This window comes from Homo sapiens, chromosome 11, assembly GCF_000001405.40.
Source record: "Homo sapiens chromosome 11, GRCh38.p14 Primary Assembly".
Classification (NCBI taxonomy): Eukaryota; Metazoa; Chordata; class Mammalia; order Primates; family Hominidae; genus Homo; species Homo sapiens.
The window spans coordinates 132,283,483-132,305,689 of record NC_000011.10 but is presented as its reverse complement, the minus strand read 5'-3'; the positions used below and the strand labels follow the sequence as shown (position 1 = coordinate 132,305,689).

At 42.6% G+C, this 22,207-nt stretch overlaps 1 protein-coding gene and 1 long non-coding RNA gene across 46 annotated transcripts in view, besides 3 other annotated features; both read right to left on the bottom strand.

The window, feature by feature from the left end:
- The window catches only part of NTM (neurotrimin), a 966,208-nt gene that overhangs the window by 31,133 nt on the left and 912,868 nt on the right, over window positions 1–22,207 (bottom strand). The window lies entirely within an intron of this gene.
- Window positions 5,206–5,285: an enhancer, noted in NCBI's record as "active region_5764". NCBI's record gives its function as "activates an Ori minimal core promoter by ATAC-STARR-seq in GM12878 lymphoblastoid cells {active_cell/tissue: GM12878}" and the evidence as "EXISTENCE:reporter gene assay evidence [ECO:0000049][PMID:35858748]".
- Window positions 17,231–21,388, bottom strand: NTM-IT (NTM intronic transcript). The gene is made up of 3 exons (NR_046820.1): window positions 21,332–21,388; window positions 20,609–20,924; window positions 17,231–17,621 (listed from the first exon to the last, which is right to left on the bottom strand). It is a non-coding gene; the product is annotated as an NTM intronic transcript (long non-coding RNA).
- Window positions 20,244–20,812: an enhancer, noted in NCBI's record as "H3K4me1 hESC enhancer chr11:132154772-132155340 (GRCh37/hg19 assembly coordinates)". NCBI's record gives its function as "activates a minimal SCP1, AML or CMV promoter by ChIP-STARR-seq in naive H9 embryonic stem cells {active_cell/tissue: H9 hESC(naive)}" and the evidence as "EXISTENCE:reporter gene assay evidence [ECO:0000049][PMID:30033119]".
- Window positions 20,813–21,382: an enhancer, noted in NCBI's record as "H3K4me1 hESC enhancer chr11:132154202-132154771 (GRCh37/hg19 assembly coordinates)". NCBI's record gives its function as "activates a minimal SCP1, AML or CMV promoter by ChIP-STARR-seq in naive H9 embryonic stem cells {active_cell/tissue: H9 hESC(naive)}" and the evidence as "EXISTENCE:reporter gene assay evidence [ECO:0000049][PMID:30033119]".

Here is a 22,207-nt window from a genome sequence, read left to right as displayed (position 1 = left end):
GTAATTCCTCTTGTGTTGTCCTTGTTTATTTGCTACCAACCACGGGCTTACATTTGTCAGATCTTCCCCTGCCAGAATGCTATAATTACTGTGCCAAGCATCTCGGAGACCAGTGTCACACTTAATATTCCCATTAATTTTAAATGGTAGTCCTTGGTACATATGTGTGGCAATTGGTGTCATATTTTAATTAGGCTTGCCCTACACCATCTGAAATTAATAATAGCTCGAATTACCAGTGTAATTTATAAATTAACAGTGCCGCAGCATTAGGAAATAAATTAGCTCTGGACAGCTGTTTCTGGATTGAGCTCCAGGGTCGGAGCAGGGACTGATAGGACCTCAGGTCTCCTGTGAAGCTGTGTATTACATCACCAAAGCGGGGAAACAAACAAAAAGACAGAGGTTCTCTGGATCTCTTGTGCTCTCCAGCTAAAGTTCATGCATCTGTTTCAATTCCATAATTCAAATATGCTCTTTTGTGGCCACAGCGAGATTTGCAGGGGCCAACTTGTCATGGACATCCAAATGGAAAGGCCTGTTGGAGGCATGACAGTCCTGGACTGAAATGCAGTTACACAAATATTAAGGCAGTCAAAATCGAGAACTCATCAGTTTTCTGTGGGGACATGGGTGCCACATTAATTTATGTGTAGTTTTGTATATTTATGTCAGGTGATCTTGTGTAGGAAAGGACGTTGGGTGGCTCAAGTTTTGGGGAAGGCGTATGGTCTCTACTGATCCAAATTTCTAATTCCAGAGAAAGGAGATTTTTCCTCAAGTCATCCTGCAGGAACAGTGAGGCTTAATCCTACTTTCCTATGTTCCCTGGACCAAATGTGCAATCCCAGAGAAATCACAATGACTTCATTGCTCACCAGTTATTACATGTACACTTTTTGATTAAGTTGGGTAAGGCATGTAAAAAGTGACTTGTACATAGTAATATGCTTAATAAATTTAAGCTTTCATTGTCATTATGCTCACTTTTCTCCTCACCCACCTTTTTCTCTACTAGAGGCATATATGGCAAAACCAGAGAGAAAGTTGGTCAGTTTACACATAACAAAATAAACTTTGAACCACCCAAAATCAGGTTCCTAAAGGAGATGCCTCAAACAAGCCCCCCAAAACACTAAACTGCAATCTGACTTTCTAGAGTTAATAAATCAACGAAAAGTTTCGTTTAAAAGCATTTGTGCTGTGGCTATGAAGTGATCAGTGCTTTATCACTAGTGTGAGGAACTTACAAAGCATATTGGGTAAAAAAAAAAAAAGCAAGCATAGTCTTTAAAGTGCTGAAGGATATTCTTGGTTAAGAGACATCAGTGGGGAAGAGGCAAACCACTTGATATAACCCTATGAAAAGAAACTTCACGGTCAACAGCTTCTCATTATAAGTCTGCTTTTTCTTTCTGTAAAGAAAATGCATCCTCAGGTGGAAATAACACACTCATCTTCCTGAAATACCCCTTCATCATGGTCCACTTCTTCAGACACTAGAAATGGCTCCTTATTTTTCTGTCACATCAAACACAAACTCTACTCCCTTATTATCAAAGCCCTCCACAAAGTAGCCCTGATCTATTCACCCAAGTTTATTTTGCACAAGTGCTATGAAGAAGGCAACAGATCATCGTCCTAAGAGGCAAAAGTTTGGGATCAGAAGAAACCAATTCTCTACCCTCTAGTTTCATGATGGGGTAGGTCACCTAACTCCCCTGTACCACCATATCTTCATCTGCACAATCAGAATAACGTTACCTACTTCTAGGGTTGCTGTGAAAGACAACACGTGGAGTGCAGTGGGGACACTGAGGGGCCCAGGAGAAGCCCTCTGTAGAACTTAGTCTAAACAACTGGTATACCACGCCACCACTGCCACTGCTGCAGCTCTCCTGCCAGGCCATGCTAGTTCTCATCCTGGACCAACATGATGATTTGTTCTTCACAGATTGTTTTTTTTTTTTTTTTTTTGTCACCTAGAAAGCTGTGCCCTATCTATCTAAGCAAATACCACCTTTCTTTCAAATTTTAACTCTTCCTTGCAAACACCCTATTATGGGTTCAATTGTGTCCTCCCAAAAAAGGTATGTTGAGATCCTAACCATCAGTACCTCAGAGAGTGACTATATTTGGAAAAAGGTCTTTACAAAGGTAATTAAGTTAAAATGAGGTATTATGGTAGACCCTAATCTAATCTGACTGGTGTCCTTATAAAAAGGGATTCGGGCAGACATGCACAGAGAAAGGGTAGTGTGAAGACACACAGGGTGAAGATGACCATGTGATAGGAGTGATGCTTCTAGGAGCCAAGGAACGCCAGGAATTGCTGGTGCATACCAGAAGCCAGGAGAGGCGAGGGAGGGTTCTCCCCTGTCACTGTCAGAGAGAGCATGGTCCAACCAATCACTTGATTTTGACTTCTAGCCTCCAGCACTGTACAGTTTTCTTGTTGTAAAGCACCCAGTTTTTTGTGCCTTGTCACAGTAGTCCTGGGACACTAATACATTCCCTTTTGTCTCCTAACTCTTGGTGCCTCTGGCTGTTCTGCACTATTGTTGCACATTCAGTTCATCTAGTCTTTAAAATCATAACAGAATTAAAGAGCTTAAGGGGACATGAATGGTTATATAATTCCATAGTTGCTCTGCTAGTACATAGTCTGTCTGCAGTAGAATTCACTAGAGTAGTTGCTTAAAATATAGAATTCTAGGTCCCACTCATACCCACTAAACCAGAATCTCCTGGGATGAGGTGCTTGCATAATCTTCCTAGGAAATTCTCACAAATAGGCAAGTTTGGGAACTAGTGATTTCGCTCAAGCCTCGTATTTTTCTTGTGGGAAACTGAAGCTTAGAGGAGTCTGTGGGCACACATCTGGTCAGTGATGGAGCACACCAGGCCTCCTGATGTCCAATCCACTGCTCCTGCAACTGTAATCAAGTTTTTGAGTAGCTGTCTTGTGCTGCACACAGGGGGCTTCTTTTTCCAATGCGATTGAAGGCCTTTGACAGCAGAAACCAGGTTCTTGGACATCTCTGGCTCTCAAGACAGCTAGGAAACCAGTTTACATAATTTTAAAATTTGCCAACTTCTTATTGACTAACTTCTGGCTGACAGACCCAGAACAACACGTTGAATTCAATGAAAAAAAGTCAGAGACCCCTTGTTGCTCACCTAACCCTCCTGTGGCCCCAATCCCAAAAGAACACCATGTACAGTCGTAGTTCTTAGCATGATCATTGTATTTCCTGACTTTAGGAAATATCATCACTATTAGTGTTCTAACAGAAAAGATTTTCTTTAAATATGTGATTTTAAAAGGTTTATCGAGTGTGTAGTATAATTTATATTTAGTTTTGGGGCCAATTATTTCCTCAGGAGAAGGCATCCTTAATTTAAAAGTGTAGATCAATGAAGAAGTATGATTTATCTAACAGAAATTTGTTTTACAGCCAACTTTTTGGAAATACAGCTATTTCATTAAGTGGAATACGACAACCGAAGCAGGGAAATGAAGCAAGCTGGATATGTGATCACACCTGCCCCCAAATCCCCACAGGGGTTTTGGTGTTGTCCAAAGTGCTGAGCTTAGCATTTACAACTAATCGAATGACAGAGACTGTCTTGTGTGCATAACATCCCTTTGGAAAAGAAAATCCCACATTTCTGACTTCATAGATTGGGCATTAAAAATCTTTATAACTGAAAATAATAATACCCACAGTGATCATTTTTATCATACCCAAGAATAAGCTTGTCAGGAGTACAGCTGTAGCTACTGGAGAGGAGAGGACACAGCTGCCTCCTTGCTTAATATTTTTATGGCATATATACCAGCTGAGATACAATCTTTGGACGTCAGAAATTGAAAAAGATACAGAACATAGAATCCCAGAATTGGAGAGTTGGAAGGAATCATTTTTAAAATTTAGCCCATATCCCATGACTAGCAGTGACATTCCAGTCCTGCACCAGCTCTGCAGCCTCTGCTCTCTCCACCATCTCAGGTTGCATCAGGTGTTCCTGTTAAACCCAGGCTGACCTCAAGGACAGTTGTATTCCCCCAGTGCCATTATGATGGCTGATGAACATTCAAGGTTTTCTGTTTTGACTGGATGAAGGCATGGTTTTGCTCAGATGCTGGGAGATAAGACAGACAGAGGTGAGACTCCTCTTCCTCAATACCAACATGTGCAAGCCCCAGGAACTGATTTTGAGGTCTCATGAAGAAAGTGGGCTTGGCCAGAAAGGAAAGAAGCTGTTTTCATGAAAGACTTTAGAGGTTTGGCTGTGTCCCTACCCAAATCTCATCTTGCATTGTAGTTCCCATAATCCCCACATGTCATGGGAGGGACCAGGTGGAGATAATTGAATCATGGGAGTGGTTTCCCCCATCCCGTTCTCATGATAGTGAGTTAGTTCTCACAAGATCTGATGGTTTTATAAGGAGCTTCCCACTTCGCTGGGCACTCACTCTTCTTCCTGCTGCCTTGTGAAGAAGGACGTGTTTATTTCCCCTTCTGCCCTGATTGTAAGTTCCTGAGGCCTCCCCAGCCCTGAGGAACTGTGAGTCGATTAAACCTCTTTTCTTTATAAATTATCCAGTCTTGGGTATGTCCTTATAGCAGTGTGAGAACAGACTAATACAGAGGTGTATGGTGCCACTGTGAGTTCTGGTGTCAAGGCCTGCTGATGAACTGGGGAAGGCCTTCTTCACACCAGGTCCCCCTTGAGGAATCAGTGCAGTCCTGGGAGCTGGAAAGCATAGAACAATAAGGCTCAAAAACAGCCCCACTCCAAGTGGCAGCAGAGGCCATGTGAGAGACTGTCAAAGGGGGTGGCACAAGAAGACTTGTATTTAAGCACGTAACAGGGACTCCAAGAAATACCAGAGCCAGTTCTGAGGTAAACGGAGGGTCCCAGGCAGGCAGATGGGTGCTGAGAGGCACAGTAATATGGAATTAATGCAAATCTGTGCCGCTAAGCTAGACAAGGCTGGGGACATGGGAGCTACCCACATAACCCACACAGCAATATCCGCTGCAACAGGGTGAAACCATCAGTGTTAAAAAGTGTTTCCACAATGTGACATTCATGTCGAATGATCTGCATAGGATAGCTTCTGTAGGCCTGATACTAGGCTGGAGCAATGGTTGAAGAGTTGATAGCAGCTGTAAGCACCACTTCCCCCGGCTGCACTGTGGGGGCAGTGATGAGCTCTAGTATTTCTGCACTCGAGCCCTATAGACAGTATTATCTGACAGTTCAGTTCTGTGCACTTCAGATTCCTCTTCTGTAAAATGGAGAACATAAGATTACCTTATAGTATTATTGTGAGCATTAAATGACTAAATATGAGTAAAGTACTTAGCATATAGGAAGCTCTCAGGAAATCGTAGCTATCATGATCTTTATTTTTACTGCAACCCTAATTAGGCTTTATCACATTTTTAATACACATGATCCTTGATACAAGAACATCTCAACTCAGAAATGAAATAATAATCAGACCTCTGCTTTGCCAGTAGGAACTTAATAATAATAAATCTTACAAAGGATTCACCACATATCCTTTAACTAGAAAACTCTACTCTCTTGACTTAAAACAGGATGTGATTGATAATAAATATAATTTCTCATGATCATTTATTTTAAAAAAGCAGGTATAGCTGCATAGCCCAGGTAAGAACTGCTGAGAGCTTAAAAAATGTCTCTGGTTTCAGAACTAAAAATAAAAGGATATAAATATATTTTATATCTATATATATATGTAATATACGTACATATATATTACACATAGTTCCTTGACATTTCCTTTGGATACAGGTAGCATGGCTGGCGGAAAAGAGAATCTGATGATCTTGCCAAAAATGGGCAAATTTAAAAGATGTTTCATAGGAAAAGTTCTGAAGGGCTCAAACCTACGTTTGCCTGTTGTAACACTGCAGGACAGACCTCACACAGTTGATAACAAACATAGAGCCCAACTCTGGGAAATGGGACAGCTGAATTGTTCTAAATAGGTGGTTCCCATCATATAAGAGAAAGCATTCTTAAATAGGCCCATGCTGGCCGCTTGTGAGCTGTGCGTAAGTCGTAGAGTATGCATATGGCAACAACCCCACGACATTGCCTCTTTGTCAGCTCAGATTCCTATTTACTTCACCTGAACTTCTTTTATACCTGGGAAACTTATCTCCTCCTTTCTCTCAGGATACCCTTTCTGTTGGATACACAGAAACTGCTTCTTCCTGGGCTCCTCCACCTTGCCATACCTTCTTTTGCACCATGTTCCCTTCCTCAAACAACTTCCATGTTCACTATACCCTTTGCATAAGCTAGAAATGCAAATGAATAGTATTTTTTGTTTTGTTTTGTTTTGTTTTTTTGAGACAGAGTCTCGCTCTGTCACCCAGGCTGGAGTGCAGTGGCGCAATCTCAGCTCACTGCAAGTTCTGCCTCCTGGATTCACAATATTCTCCTGCCTCAGCCTCCTGAGTAGCTGGGACTACAGGCGCCTGCCACCACGCCCAGCTAATTTTTTTTATTTTCAGTAGAGACGGGGTTTCATTGTGTTAGCCAGGATGGTCTCGACCTCCTGACCTCATGATCCACCCTTCTTGGCCTCCCAAAGTTCTGGGATTACAGGCGTGAGCCACCGCACCTGGCCATGAATAGTTCTTAAATTAATTTATTAACCAGATTTTTTCATAAAGCAATAAATATAGATTCAATAAAAATATTATACAAACTGGTGCCAACTATAAATTTCGTGTGTGTGTGTGTGTGTATACACACATATATGTGTCTATCAATATCAACAAAACATTTATCATAGATCCTGACACATATTAAGAACTCATTTGATAGTTGGAACTGAATATGTGTATATGGTTGAATATGCATAGCTACGCATATATCAACTATAACATTTTATAGATACGTAGAAACAAATTCCCTTAATTTTTTTTTGATAGGGAAATCTGGGAATAATAATTAGCTTCATATTAAAGAGAAGCTTCAACTTAAAGTGTAATTATAAGAAAGTGAACCCTTTGTACTCCACAGAGCCAGGCCCTGTGCATTTCTGAGGCCCATCCCTTCCCATAACAACATGACGTGGGTTTTCTTTGCAGATGTGGCTTCAGAAGCTGGGCTGGCCCTGGAGTTGGGTGCTCTTCTGCTGTGAGCCTTCTCAGGAGGCCTGTCAGCTCAAATCTGCATGCAGACCCTCTATTACGCGTGATGATATCAAAGTCAGAAAGCACACAGCTGGGTGTTTAGAGTTTGCAGCTTGATGTCTGGGAACTGTGTATTTGCAGTAGTGCAGCTGATGGCTGCTAAAAAAATAAAAATAAAAAAATAAATCAGCTTTTGATTTGTAAACTCAGCCAATTTGATCTGAAAGACATTGATAGGGGATAAATATAGCACTCCGCAATGTCATATTGCCTCAGTATCTTGGCTGTTTGCTTTCCCTTTTTCTAAATCACTGGAGATATAAGCCAGTACTGAGTGCTGATAACTTTGAAGGAGTTAATTGCTTTCAATTCCTCACCCAGATTAATTTAAGGGAATTCTATTGACTTAAGAGGCTCCTAAAGGGTTAAGGTTCTCCTGACACCATTGTGCTCAGGATCAGATAAGAAGTCACCTTCACTACCTGGATCCCAACAGCCTTGGGAAGCAGGGCAGCCTATGATTTAGCCATCAATACATTTTGTAGGGCAGGGGTTCTTAATCTGAGAATTGTGGAACTGTTAACCTCAGGGGTTTTGAATACCAGGAAATAATATTATGCATACGTGCATTGGTGTGTGTTTTCCTTAAGAAGAGATTCTACAGCTCTCTGAAAAGGATGTAAAAGGAGCCCAGGACACACACGGCTTGGTACCCCCTTGCTATGATCCTCTGGATCATCCCCTAGTGATGGTGCAGAACCAAATCCATGTCAACTCACATGTCTGCCAAGAAAAAGCCCGCAAAAATGTAGATGATGATAGGCAAAAGAACATCACTCCACGGGGAAGCAGAGCCTTACGTATGTTTCATTAAATATTTTGTGGAGGATGGGAAGTGAAATAACTTATAAATAATCCTTTTGAAGAATAGATATATCGATCTGGGGAGTTCTTTTTTCACTAAATGGGGGAAAGTCTTTTCCCACCAAAGCTAAGTTGAAATGCACGGAGGATGCAGGGCTCTGCCCATTCCTGCAGAGGCCCATGCCCACTGGCTGATGAACTAGAGGCTTCTTGCACATAGAAGGAGGAGGGAAGCCAGGCTTTCCCTTTGCAAGCAGCATCCTCAGATGCAGAGCAAAACGCAGGCTTTCCTGAAGAATCCCATTTATTAGTGATGGTATCAAGCAAAACCTCAATGACAAGGGGACCACTTGGGGGACAGAGGGAGCAGAAAACCTGGGGTGGGGTCAAATCTATAGTTAAGACAATCTAATGAATAAATTCAGATCAGATTCTGGGAGAAAACTACAAGGTGCCAGGAATACTCAAGATGGAAGTGCCATCTGTGTATTTTCAATTGGCATGGAGAGGGCAGACACCAGCCCATGTGCAGAAGGGAATAACTTGGGAAACCACAGCACAATTCTACAGAAGAGCAGGAAGCCTATTGGAGTAGGATTGTTTGGGCCTCAGGAGAAAGGGAGACATGACTGAAAGCCCTTGTATTTGTAACATTTAATTAAAGCCTTTGACTGGAAAAAAATGAGTCTTTATAAACATTTCTCAAAATCTATTCTGCACCATAGCTACTTTCCAGCAGGTAGGCCAAATCATCCTGCTGGAAACACGTGCATGGGCTCTGCCCACTTACTTTTGAATGCCTTGCCCCTCTGTTCTTAGCATTCCACTGCCAGGTGGAATTTTCACCTACATGAAATCTATAAAAAGACGGTGTATGGGAAGGAAAAGAATAGCCGATTTACTCTTTCACTGGGCACACTACTACTGTGCCTTTCTACTTCACTTCACATAAAATCTAAATATAGGCACACACACACCTGGGTCTTGGGTAGAATGCAATGTATTAAAACAAGCAGACAAACACAGAACTCCTGAATCCTCAGTATGGCGACGTCTCTTAGGAACTGGTAGCCTTGAGGAAATAACTGGGCCTCAGTTCCCTCCTTAGTAAAATGTGGCTGTTTATTTATGACTCAAATACTCATATATTGGGTCTGAAAATTATATGAGAGAAGTTGTGCAAACATATGGAAGAATGATTAACACGTGGGAAATAATTTTAAAAATGTTAGAAGGAACAAACTATAGGAAAAGTTTGGGACATTCAATCCCTAAATAACAGCATCACATAAGGCCCACTCCTCTACTACTTCTACCCCCTCCCCAGGTAAACCTATTCTTTTAAATGCCATCTCAGCACTGTAGATGGCCAGCTGTGCTCATGATCTCCACATCTGCATGGCCGTCCTGGAGGACCTGCTGAGCTCCAGGCCCATAACTGCCTGTGAAATGCCTACTCTGTATGCTTCCCAGACACCGCAGGCTGAATTCACCACCTTGCCCTTACATCTGCTCTTAACTCCTGCATCTGATCTCTCTTGGCAGCATTGTCGAATCCCCATTCTCGTAAGATAAAAGTGAGTTACATTGCTTGCTCTCTTTCCCTTATTCCTCACCTTCAATCAACAAACCCTGCTGTTTCCACTCACTTTACAGCTTCCAAATCCATTCTCTTCTTTTCCTCATCATTGTTACTGTCTTAATTCAGGCCCTCATTATCTACTCTGGATTATTACAATATCCTCTTTATGAGTCTCCACGCCTCCCATTTATTCTTTTCTTTATTGCCAAAATAATTGCCAAAAATAAGAGTCAGTCCCACCTCTGCTTAAATCCTACCACTGCTCCACATTGCTCCGTGGCATGGAATGTGAAGGTTCCCATGAGCTGGCTCTTGCCTACATCTCTGGGTTCTTTATTGCCATCTCACTTCCCCCTACACCCACTGGACACACCAGTGAAGTTCCTAAAACACGAGGCATTGTATTGATCTGTGCCTGTTTGTCTTCTCTTTTGTCCACCTTCAAATGTCTATGCAGCCTTCAAAACTATCCCAGCAATCACTGCTCTGGGAACCCTTTCGTCACATTCAAACTTCCGGGCCTCCTCCCCACCTAGTTTATTATTGTTTATTTGTTTCTCTAGCATTGCTAATCACACGGTATTGTTATTTATTTATATATGTTTACCCCACTGGACTCTAATTTCCAAGAGAGCAGTGACTCTGTTATGCACCTCTACATCTCCAATATCTATAGCAGGTTTAGCACGTAGAAGGGGCCACATGATCATGTGGGCAAAGGTTGAATGAATAAACTAGCTGACTAGACTTTTGATGGCTGTTCTAGCCTATCATAATTCATTATGATATCGTTATATCATATCAATTGTTAATCATATCAATGATTCAGAACACCCTTTGATGACCTTTAAGAAAACAGTGGGTATATTTTTTAAGGTTTTTCTTTCTCGTGTGTGTCTGTGTGTGTGTGTGTTTGTGTGTGTGAGAGAGACAGAGAGAGAGAGAGAGGGCTGGATTCATGAAGAGATGTCTTAAAATCTCCTAAGGCTAAATAATTTTATTCCATATTTCTTAAGGGGAACTAAAAGAGCCTTCATCAAGCTAGGCCTGGAATTAATAAGAGAAGAGCCAGGTTTGGCCACCTTCACAAATATTCTTAGTTAAAAGCTCTTATAGCCAATGTCCCTGCTTCCTTGGCATGCAGTGTGCCCTAATAAAAATGGTCTCAGAGAGCTTTCTTATGTCATCATCAATTAGGTTGAATTTTTTCTTAGTGGAATCAGCCTGGCCATTCAGCTCTGTCTGTCTGTAATTAGTAGTGGAATGATTGCAAGGAGTGAGATTAAACTCTCTACCTTCCTGGGACAGGCAAGGAAAAAACTGCTGCCATCACTACAAAATGAGCCTCAACATGCTCCTGTGACTTTCCTGCACCTGCTTGGTCTCAGGACTAAGGGCTTTGCCTGCCATTGACAGTGCTGTCCTTCCTGCCTCCTCCTGTCCTCAACTGCTCGATGTAAGTTGCATTAATTCCCATTCCTCTAGACTTCTTCAACCCCAGTAACTCCTCCTTCCCGATAATTCCAAGGGAAAATAAAGGAACATTTTACTGGATCTTGGCGTGAAAAAACTAGCAACCTTAACTGATGAGTTTTAAGTTATTTTTTATTTCAGTTCTAAATCTCAACTTCAGAAGACGAATTTCCACTCTAAGACTTGAATGGCACCTTCCATGGTACAGTACAAGAGCAGACAGGAGCTCATGCATTAACCAATGGAGTTAGCAGCTGATAAAAAACTGGGATGAAGGAATGAGGGGAGGGGAAGGCGAGGGGAGTGTGAGAGAGCCAGAGAGCACAAGCAGATGATAAAATTGCACGTCAAACAGAGAAAGTAACCAGAACACACATGATTGCTGAAGGTAATTATTCAGTTGCTTAGGTAAATCAGAAGCTTGCTCCTGTGACTACCGTGTTCTCATTAAAGCTCGAAGTCATAGTGACACCTTCGGGAGGTGTTAGCCTTAACCATGCTTTCCTATGATGCCTGTGGGGACAGCTAGCCTGCACACCACTGTAGCATCCCATGGTGCTTTGAAGACCCTGGTATCAGCTCCAGTTACCACTCGTCTCCAGGAGACTTCCATAACCAATTCTGTAAAATAGGGTCAGCCAACGTTTTCTATAAAAGACCAACTAGTATAATACATGTTTTAGGCTTTGCAGGCTGAGCGGCCTCTAGAGCAACTGTTAAACTTGCCACTGTAGCACAAAAGCAGTCATAGACAATACATAAATCAGTGAGTGTGGCTTCACTCCAAAAAAACTTTACTTTTGGACAATGAAATTGTGGTTTCATACAATCCTAATGTGTTACAACATAGTATTCTCCTTTTGATTGATACTCAATTATTTAAAAATGTAAAAAGAAAAAAAAAAAACCTTACATTTCAGGCCATTCAGAAAAGAGGCTGCAGGCTGAATCTGGCCCATAGGCTGTAGTTTGCTGACCTCTCCTGTAGACGCGTAAATCTCCAGTCATCTATGATTTCCTGTAGTCTCACACCCGCTGTTTCATATAACCCTTCATCGGACTGCACTCCACATCCTCCCCACCCTTTTGCAGTCCTTCCATTCTGCACTCAGGAACCTCTCCTGCATCATCAACGCTCCCTGACAGCATCCAATTCTTGGAGAGATGCCTCCACCTCACTCTCATACTCAGGCGGGGACATGGGCTCTCCTGGAGACGTGTCCTGTCAAGTGGGGGCTACCCAATTTTTAAATACCGCACATATTTTTTTGTTGGTTGGTGTCTTTGTTTTCCAGTTAAACTTCTGAGCTTGCTCCATCTTTTTCAAACCTTACATCTTTAAGGCTCATATTATCTAAATAATTACACCCCTGCCTCTTCCTCTTCCATCACATTTCTGTTCTCTACTGACTTCCTGGTTATTATTTTTTTCTATTCAATAAAAACCTTTGCTTCTTAGAGTCTCCATCTGCATCCTCACTCCTACCACTATTCTCTGTGACCTCCTCGTCCAGAAGTACAATCCGTCAAAAACCGGCCCCTCATATTCTTGATCTTACCTCCATGACTTTTTGCTCTGCTGTCTTCTGTGACCTACTCCACATTCACACCTAAAACTTGTCAGAAACTGAACCACCTCTGAAGGCATTAATTTAAGCATCTCACTCTGTCCATAACTTCCTACCTTTTTAAAATCTTTGTTCAGTCGCTTGAGGGAACAATTATTTTTCTTCACTAGGGATTTAAATCCCCCGATCCAACATTTTTTAGTTTTTTTTTTTTTTTTTTTTTTTTTTACTTTTACATCCCTTTTGATAAAATTTATATTTTATAACGCATCATTGTTCTCTCTCCCTGGAAAATACTCTCAACTCCTTCGCCTCCCTCCCTTGTTCCACTAGCCTGGCAAAACCCCATCCTAGATGAATCTAAATGTCTGTCTCCTCTGTGTCTGCTGTAGGAACATCAAAAAAACAAACTGGCTTCTCCGTACACTCATACGTGCCTGTCTCAAGCAGGCACTCATAACTGCCATGGACACTTGAGCACTCTCAAGGTTCATTTTTCCCCTTCTTCATGCTCTTCCAACTTCTCAGTGCCTCACCACCCTCTCCCTCCATCCACGCTGTCCTCTGCTGAGGATCCTGTCTCCTGCTCCACTGAGGTGGGGGAGGGGCCGGAGGAGGGAGAATAGAGAAGCCGTCAGACAGACTCATTTTCTCATGATCAAATGTACAGACCAACATTTGTGCTTGCCATCTCATTATCTCCTACATTTTAGAAAACTTAGATTTCATGACCCATCACTGCAACTCTCATGGGGAAATATCCTCAACCCCTTCACTTCTATTCATACTTTACAGTAACTGTCTAACAAATGTCTTCCCTTCCCGCTATCAAAAAACCAATTCCTCCTTTTGTTCTATGCATTTGTTTCTTTCTCACTTTTTCAAGGAATTCCCTTCATCAGCTACCTGGACTTTCTCCTCAATCTTCACCTGCTTTTGCTGTACTGGATCATTTTCATGGTTGTTTTCACACCTTCTAATGTCTGCCTTAACACCACTGTTTTCCACTGACCCCAGGCTCCACAGCCTCTTTTCACAGTCAAGCTTCTCAGAACAGTTGTCCAAATGTGCTGTCTCAGATTCTTCCCCTCATATTCACACTTCAACCAGTCCAATCCAGCTTCTGTTCACACCTCTCCACCGAACCTACCCATTCCAAAGTCACTGAATGACTTCCATGTGTCCAAATTCATGGCACACATCTTAGCATTTTCTTAAAAGACTTCTCAGCAGCAATATACATAGCTGACAACTCACTCCTTTAAATGAGCTTTTCTTGGCTTCTATAATGTCATAATCTCCTAACTGCCCAACCACCTCTCTGGATAGTCCTTCAAAATCTCCTTTCCTGGCTTCTCCTCAGGGCTAGGTTCTAGGTATTCTTGTCTCACTGTACAATGATTTCCCAGGCAATATCATTTATTCTGTGGCTTTGAACATTCAGGTTTATGGCAATAACTCACACATTTATATCTTCACCCTATTTCTCTTCCATGAACCCTACACTTCCATAGGCAATTCCATGGTCACATGGAAGTCTCATAGGCATCCCACATTTGACATGTCCGACATGAAATTCTTCTAGATTTATCTTCCTTCAAATTTTCTTCTCCTTCAGTTTTTCTCTTATTCATAAATGGCACCTTTACCAGTCACATTTCTCAAAAAAAAATGTAGAAGTCATACTCAGTACTTAACGCTTCCTGAATCCAATATCAAATCCATCACCAAGTCTTATTAATTCTACCTCTAAAGTATATCTTGAATCCATCCTCTTCTGTTCACTGACACTTCTATCACCTGATACTTTAGGGACAACTGGAGGGGTCTGCTGGACTTTCACATTTATAAAACTTATTTACAAATATTATCTATTTTAATTTTTATTCAATAATAATATTAGGTAGGCGTCAACATCTGATCCATACTCACATACCAGGCCATACGATACCATCATCCCAAACACAGCATAAATTCCTATACGGCCCATTGTGATCTAATGCCTCTATTTCCTTATCATTTCTTCCTCACATTTTCCCACATGTGGTTCAGATCTAACGGAAACAACTCATAATTCTAGAAGAACGTCATCTTATCTTTTGTCATACTACCACCTGGAAACACTCTATTTTTCAGGTTGTCGCCTTCTTTCTTTCAGGTTACAGCTTAAGTTCAGCTCGTATAAGAATCCTTCTGTAACCTCTGCACATCCCCTGGGATAGCACCCCCATCCCCAATTCACTGTACATCTTAACTACTTGGTGCTTTTTAAAAATGGTAACACTTATTACATTATATTAAAATGGATGGGTTATTTATCTCTCTCTCCCTTCAGAGTAAAGGTCCATTAAAGAGAGATAGTATTTCTGTATCTGTAGCATATAGTTATACACAATATATAGTTGTTGAATGAATAAATGCACAAAAATAAAGCTGATATGTTCCTCACTCTCAATAAATTTATAATTTACTAGGTCAATGTTAATTCTTCATCTATGCTTTTATGCACAGGGTCTATTAAAACAATACGCTCAGTATCCAATGCATATTTAGAACTCCAGAATGAAGGACACCGTCCTTATTAAGTTCTTTAATAACCCATGACAAACATAGCTGACTCTTTAGCCCTATTTCCTATTACTCCCGGCTCCCAATTTCCCCATATCAGTGATTTACCAAGGGCAGGGCAGTGGGAGATGTCTGCTCACTGATGGTGTTTAAAATTACATGTGTACAGTGATAATAAAAAAAAAAAAATCAGACTATCTTTTAGTCAGTCTTACTGCTATTATTTTTAATTCTCTATAAGACTTGCAGTCCAAGTTATTATGGGGTAACTACATCTTATCCTTTCTCTCCCATTCATTATAACTGACAAAAATACATAAATGAAATATATGAGAGCTCTGAAGGTTAAACAATAGCAGGAAGCTTGTGGAGGGAAATGAAAACTTGAAGAAAGAACAATATAGCGGCAAATGTCCTGTTGTTTATTTTCCTCCTTCCTTTCCTGGCTTAAACTTAGAACAGCCAGAATCCTAAAACTGTATAGCAAATGCCAACAGAAACAACAACAACAAAACAGAACAAAACAAACAAAAACTCTTGGATAAACTCTTTTTGGTCTGAGGATGTGGAAAGATAAGGCTTGTAAGACGGAGAGTCCGGGGAAGTCCACTTTCTTTCCTTCCCTCGACCCTGCCCTGAGGTAAACCTCAGTGCTGACGCTGCAGTCTTGCAGCAGTGGTGATAGTAGCAGCAGTGGCCACAAAGACATCTAAAACTCTAAAAAAATACTTCATGACCAGCGGAACTGAGTACAGGAGCCTCTGTGGTCTGAAAAGTGTAGAGGAATACCTATTACATTTTTTCTTCTCTTTCTTCTCACCACTTTTCCCTGGAGTTGGACTCAGTCACAAGAAATTTGTAACATTAAGGTTATGGCAGGGGGTGAGGGGATGGAGTATGGTGCTAATACTCCTGCTTTCTAGGCAGATGGCAAAGAAAGGGGGCTCATGGGAGCTGGAGAGCAGGGGGAAATCACGGAGAGAAGGAGCTCAAGAAAGGAATCAGGTATAGCAATGTATAAAGTCCCAGGTTCACTCTGAACTTGTGTGGAACTCACCCAGGACAGTACACCAAAGGCTTTGAGAACTGAACTCTTGTGTAAACCACCACCCAGAGTCTTAGTTGGTGAACTCTGCCTGTATATTCTCAAAGGATCTTAACAGAATCTAGAGTCTAGTAAGATAAAAATGTGCACTATATAATCAAAAATTACTCATCCTACAAAGAGCAAGGGGAAGCTAAATAATTCCCAAGGGAAAAGACAATTAACAAACACCATCCCTGAGAATTGTTGCAAATTGCCAGATCTTAAAGCAGCTGCTAAAACTATGCCCTGCAAAGTAAAGGTGAACACTTTTAAAACAAATATGATGGTGGACATTCTCAAGACAGAACTAGAAGCCATACACAAGAAGCAAGTAAGAAAAACTAGGACTGAGTTTTAGGTACTAATTGGATCAGTTTAATAGCAAAATAGAGATGATAGAGTAAAAAGTCAGTAAACTTAAAGATAAATAGAAATTATCGCACCAGGCATGGTGGCTCACTCCTATAATCCCAGCACTTTGGGAGGCTGAGGCGGGTGGATCACCTGAGGCCAGGAGTTCAAGACCAGCCTGGCCAACATGGTGAAACCCCGTCTCTACTAAAAATACAAAAAATTAGCTGGGCGTGGTGGTGGGCGCCTGTAATCCCAGCTACTCAGGAGGCTGAGGCAGGACAATCGCTTGAACCCGGGAGCTGGAGGTTGCAGTGGGCCAAGATCGTGCCATTGCACTCCAGCCTGGGCAACAAAAGCGAAACTCTGTCCCAAAAAAAAAGAAAAAGAAAGAAAGAAAAAAAGTATCCAATCTAAACAATAGAGGTTAAAAGATGGGAAGGCAACAAAAGAAATATTTTGGGGTGAAACTATTGTGTATTCCGTTCAGTTCAAGTGGTGTTCTATACATGAATTGATGTATGCATTAAAACATACAGGCACAGAAACATGCATTCAAAAAGTAGCTAAGTTTAGTAGCTAAGAGTGTATGGTATACCATAGGTGCCAAAGAAATTATATTTCATATGTCAGAATCTTGGATGTCCTCAAGTTTTACAGCTTCTTAAGGTCTACTTGCCCTTTAAGTTTAAGTAAATCTTCTGAATCTTCTGTGCACTGAGAAACTCCATATTCTCTCCAATGGCTTGGGGCATCTTGGTAAGCCTGCACGTGTCTTGGCTTCCATGGCACTTGGCTTTCTATTCCACTAAGAATCATATTCTGCACGATGTGGCTTGCATCCTGCCCAGGCTATTCCCCCATCCATGCTGGTTGGCAGAACTGTCTGCTTCAATCCCCAGAGAAACACTGACACTAGGCTCTGTGCGCTGCACACAATACTAAAGAGTTTTGTAAAAGGAGATTATTTTTCACAAAGCATATAAAGAAACTGAAATTTTACTAATTTTTGTCTCTAGGGACAATGTATATCATACCCTTGAACCACATAAATGTTTATTAAATGAGTAGCCTCAATTATTCTTCCATATTCTTCAAAATAGACACATATACACCAAACAAATCCTCAGCACACTATGTTTTTCCTGCTTTTCATGTGTACCCATATCCTGCATTTGGACATGCATACCGACCCAAAATTGTAAGCTCATGCAATGTAAGCTTATTAGAGACACATTCACATGCATGCTCACACATGCATGTTAGCACATTTTTTCTTTCTCTATCAGAATCCTTAGATCTGGTCATTTATTTCTAGTTTAAATCCATTTTTCAGATGTTTTATATTGGGAAACATGCAGAGTCAAAAGTCCCTGATTCATTTGTACTTGACTCCCTGAAATTGTATTTTTTAGAGGCTGTTCAGTCTCTCTGATCCTTTTCTCCAGCCTTTTAAGCATTTTTTAAATATAAACCAGATCTTTTCCCCCAAGAATTTATATAACTTAAACCTCAGGTGGCATGACACATATGCAGCTCTAGGGTCCTCTGCTCAGTCACATGCACACCCAGCCTGACATGCATGACATGAGCTGGATAAAAGAATGCTTCTCTCAAGTTATTAGAAGGAAACGTACGCAGACAGAACATCCGGGTCCTGAGCTCAATGTGTCTTCCATTATTCATTCTATACATAATGAAAAATAAGCGTTTGGAAAACACAGCATACTCCACTTACCAAAATCATAATTCTGACTATGATCATCATTATTTCACCATTATGTGTGCCTGAGAAAATTACTCAGCTTTACACCCACCAGGACTGAAACTGGCCTTGCCTAAAGGGCCTAAGGACTGGTTAGACAGATCTGACAAGGGAGGATGATGGATGAGCATCAGACAGCACATTCTCTGCCATCGACAGCCTGAGGGGTCTCAAATGGTCTAGAAAATATTTTGAAGAATAAATACACACTAAGGAGGAATTTAAAGGAGAAAGCCCTTGTTCATGTACCAGGGAAAGGATTTTCTGTAGTTGAGTCATTTCAAGAGTGAGAAGGACATAGGCACCAAAGAAGAAAAGCATCTTCAAAGAAGGATCAATAGGCAGAAGTGCAGGAAAGGTAGAATAGCCAGGGTTCTCAGGGATCCTGCGAACAGATGGCGGAGCTTCCTAAGTCTGATGCATCTCCCTAGTTTGTTTTCTCATTGGATACACCATTGTCATGGTGGTCAGGTGGATTCAACACTGTGCCCTGCTCTAGCCACAGTGATGTTCAGCATTCCTGGCCCCTCCCCACAGGGGGCCAGTAGAGCCATGCGGTCATTCTGGTGGGCTCATGCATATTCGAATATCCCCCAGAGATGGTGCCCAGTTGAAAACCATTGAGTATCAGAAGTATCAAAAATTCTAGTAGCAACAACAGAGTGGTGAGGCAAAAATAAGTGGGCCAAAGTTGCGCATTGAGGCTGTGTGTGTTTGGGTGGGGGGGGCGGACAGGCAAAGTATGTGTAATATCGTGTTCTTCTCTAGCATTTACCTAAATGGTGCTTCTGTGTTACTCCTAAATCTCCTTCCTTTGAATCTTTCAATCCTTCATTCAGGTCCTCTTCCAAGAAAGGGCCAGAAACACAATCCCATTTGAAAAGAACTACTATTTTTAAACTGTTCTCCTGAGATGAAGTGCAGAGTGGCAGCCTGCTGTAACAGACAGAAATAGCCTGCACTGCCATAGGCCAGACTCGTTTATGTTTTAGCTTGAATGAGTCTCTTATTTTATGTTCCTGATAAAATGAGGGGGATATAATATCGACTGTGAAGTTTATAGATCAGTTTAAATATTTTAAATATATGGATGCATTCTGTAAATTGTACTCCACTGTGTGGATATTAGAAGTTATTATTTCACAGAAACCAGAGACTCAAACTAAAGGTACTGATGATCAAATGTCAGCCAGCAGCCAAGCCAAGTGCTTGGGGTGATAGGTCTTCCTTGCAGATGGAAGCTCTTAGTTTGCAGGTGCCCACTGACTCTGCAAACCGAGGAAGCCAGTCCTGAGCTGAACTCCATTTTTCTCATGATGCAGCCAGGATAAGCTAGAGTGGCTACATTAGCAAGATTCCCATCTACAAGAGGCTGGACTGTGCCTTGAATTGTAAAGATCCTGGTGGAGTGAGACTCATCTGTCAAGGCTAGGAGAGGCAGACAGTCTAAGGGACAGCGACTGGCAGTAAATATGGCCAGAGCAGAGTCGGGGAAGATTGATGTCCTACCTGAGAAAAGGGGAGTGATGCAAAGAATAAATGATCTCTTGTGTGTCCTTTGGTCCTAAGAGCTAAACTCATATTGCCAATTTGATGCCTGGGGAACCGCTGTGAATATAACTCATGGAGAAAAAGTGATAAGTGTAATGGGTGGTGCCCGAGACATAGCAAGTCCAGGTGCACCGATGCCCCAATCTGGGTGCTCCTGAACAGCAGGGAGTGTGCCTCAGGCTGTCGAGGGGTGGCTGTGACAGTGAGAGTAGCAGTGCCATCTCAGTCAGGTCCACGAAGGAGGACACTTAGAAAAACAGAGTTGGTCAGAGCTGGGAGCATTTCATTCCTCCTTCTTCAAGATGTGCATGACAATTAACAACAACAAAAAGGTGAGAAGAGAGAGGTACAAAGGGAGCTCAGAGCAGAGGCTGCCCATAGTCCTGTGACCACAGGGTGGAGAGGAAGGCTGGTGGGCATGAGAACCAGGTAGGATGGCTCCCAGTCAATGTTAATGTGAAGCCACAGAGGGCAAGGCAGGGGTCCAGGCCTCTGAGGGGCAGATGGGCTGAGAGAGCACTACTGAGGATGCCCCTTGAGAGAGGGGGAGTCCAGGTGGGAAGACGTGGGTAGCAGGGAAGCCTAGGCTGGGAAGGTCTGAGTGGACAGCACCTGCAGGCAGCGTCACTTTGCTCCTCACACTGCTCTTTCTGCTGCATCTCAGGGTCCCATGAGCACAGTCCCAGAGTGACCCTTCCTGCTCCTGCTCATGCTTCCCCAGGTGGATGAGCTCCCACCTCTCTTGGAGCTGTGCTTTCCTCATCCTGTTGCTGTGGCAAACACACCAGCACACATTCCTAAGTCACGCATGCATCCGCAGCGGCTCAGCCTCGTGGCTGTGCAGCAGTCGCAGTGCTGGGCATCTGAGGCGGGTCTCCATGAGGCAGGAGTAGAAACCCTGGCCGGCCCCGCCTTCTCCCCAAGGCCACTGTCGGGGAAGAGTCAGGTGGGGTTTACAATGTGACAGTTGGAGGAGGCAGAGGAGAGGGACTGACCAGTTGTTATGGGCTGATTTATGCTCCCACCCCAAATCCGTAAGTTGAAGTCCCAACCGCCAGTATCACAGTGTGAGGGCATTTGGAAGCAGGGTCCCAGTATCACAGTGTGAGGGCATTTGGAAGCAGGGTCCCAGTATCACAGTGTGGGGGCATTTGGAAGCAGGGTCCCAGTATCGCAGTGTGAGGGCATTTGGAAGCAGGGTCCCTAAGTAGGTCATGCAGTTAAACTGAGGTCACTGGGGGAGACCCAATCTAATGGGACTGGTGTCCTTAGGAGAAGAGATCAGGACACAGAGATGCAGAGGGAAGACATGTGAAAACACAGGGAGAAGGCGACCTTCTACATGCCAAGGAGAGAGGCCCTCCCAGAAATCAACCAGGCCGACTGTTTTAGCTCAGACTTCTGGCCTCCAAATTTGTAAGACAATGCATTGCTGTTGTTGAAGCCCTCCAGGCTGTGGTACTTTGTTACCTCAGCGCTAGCAACCAGTAGAGTGGGTGTCCAGGGGAAAGCCCAGAATAGGGAGGGGGCTCACCTTGGAGGGTTTGCTGTGCGCCAGCTCTTTCCCATACCTCATTTCATTTTAATCCCCACAAAATCATCCTCTAGGGATCCTGGGGCTGAGGCCCCAGGGGCTGGGACAGTCCTTTGGAAGTGGTGGGGCTTTCTACAAGCACTGGGCATTGCCTCAGAGGGAGGAAGGAAGGGAGAGGGAGAAGCCCAAGAGGAGGAGAGGAGGCCAGGAAAAGGGCGGGATGGAGGGAATCACTGAGATAGAGCCCCTGGGGTGATGACAGCACAGGCACTCCCATGGGGCCTGGGCAAGAGCTTAGTGTCTCCTCTGCAGACACGGTTACTGGTAGGACATTTCCACTTTCCCTCTAAAGCCCCCCATTGAACAGGAGGGCACATTTCAGACTTGCCCATCTTAGCCTCCCCTCCTATCCCTCTTCGCTAAAAGCATTCTCAGTCCCTGAGCCTAACTTAGAACAGGGTGCTATGAAGTACCGCCTAGAGGTGGAAGCAACTGCAGAGAGAACTGGATGCTTCTTTTCTTTCATTCATCATTTAGGAATATAACCATGATGCAAATATTTTTTTAAGATGCCAATTTTTTCATCCAAATTGTTATTCAAGCATAAATAGGCATCACATTTTGCACATCATCCCGAGCTCCTTGATCTCTGATCGCTGTCCTAATTGTCTTACTTG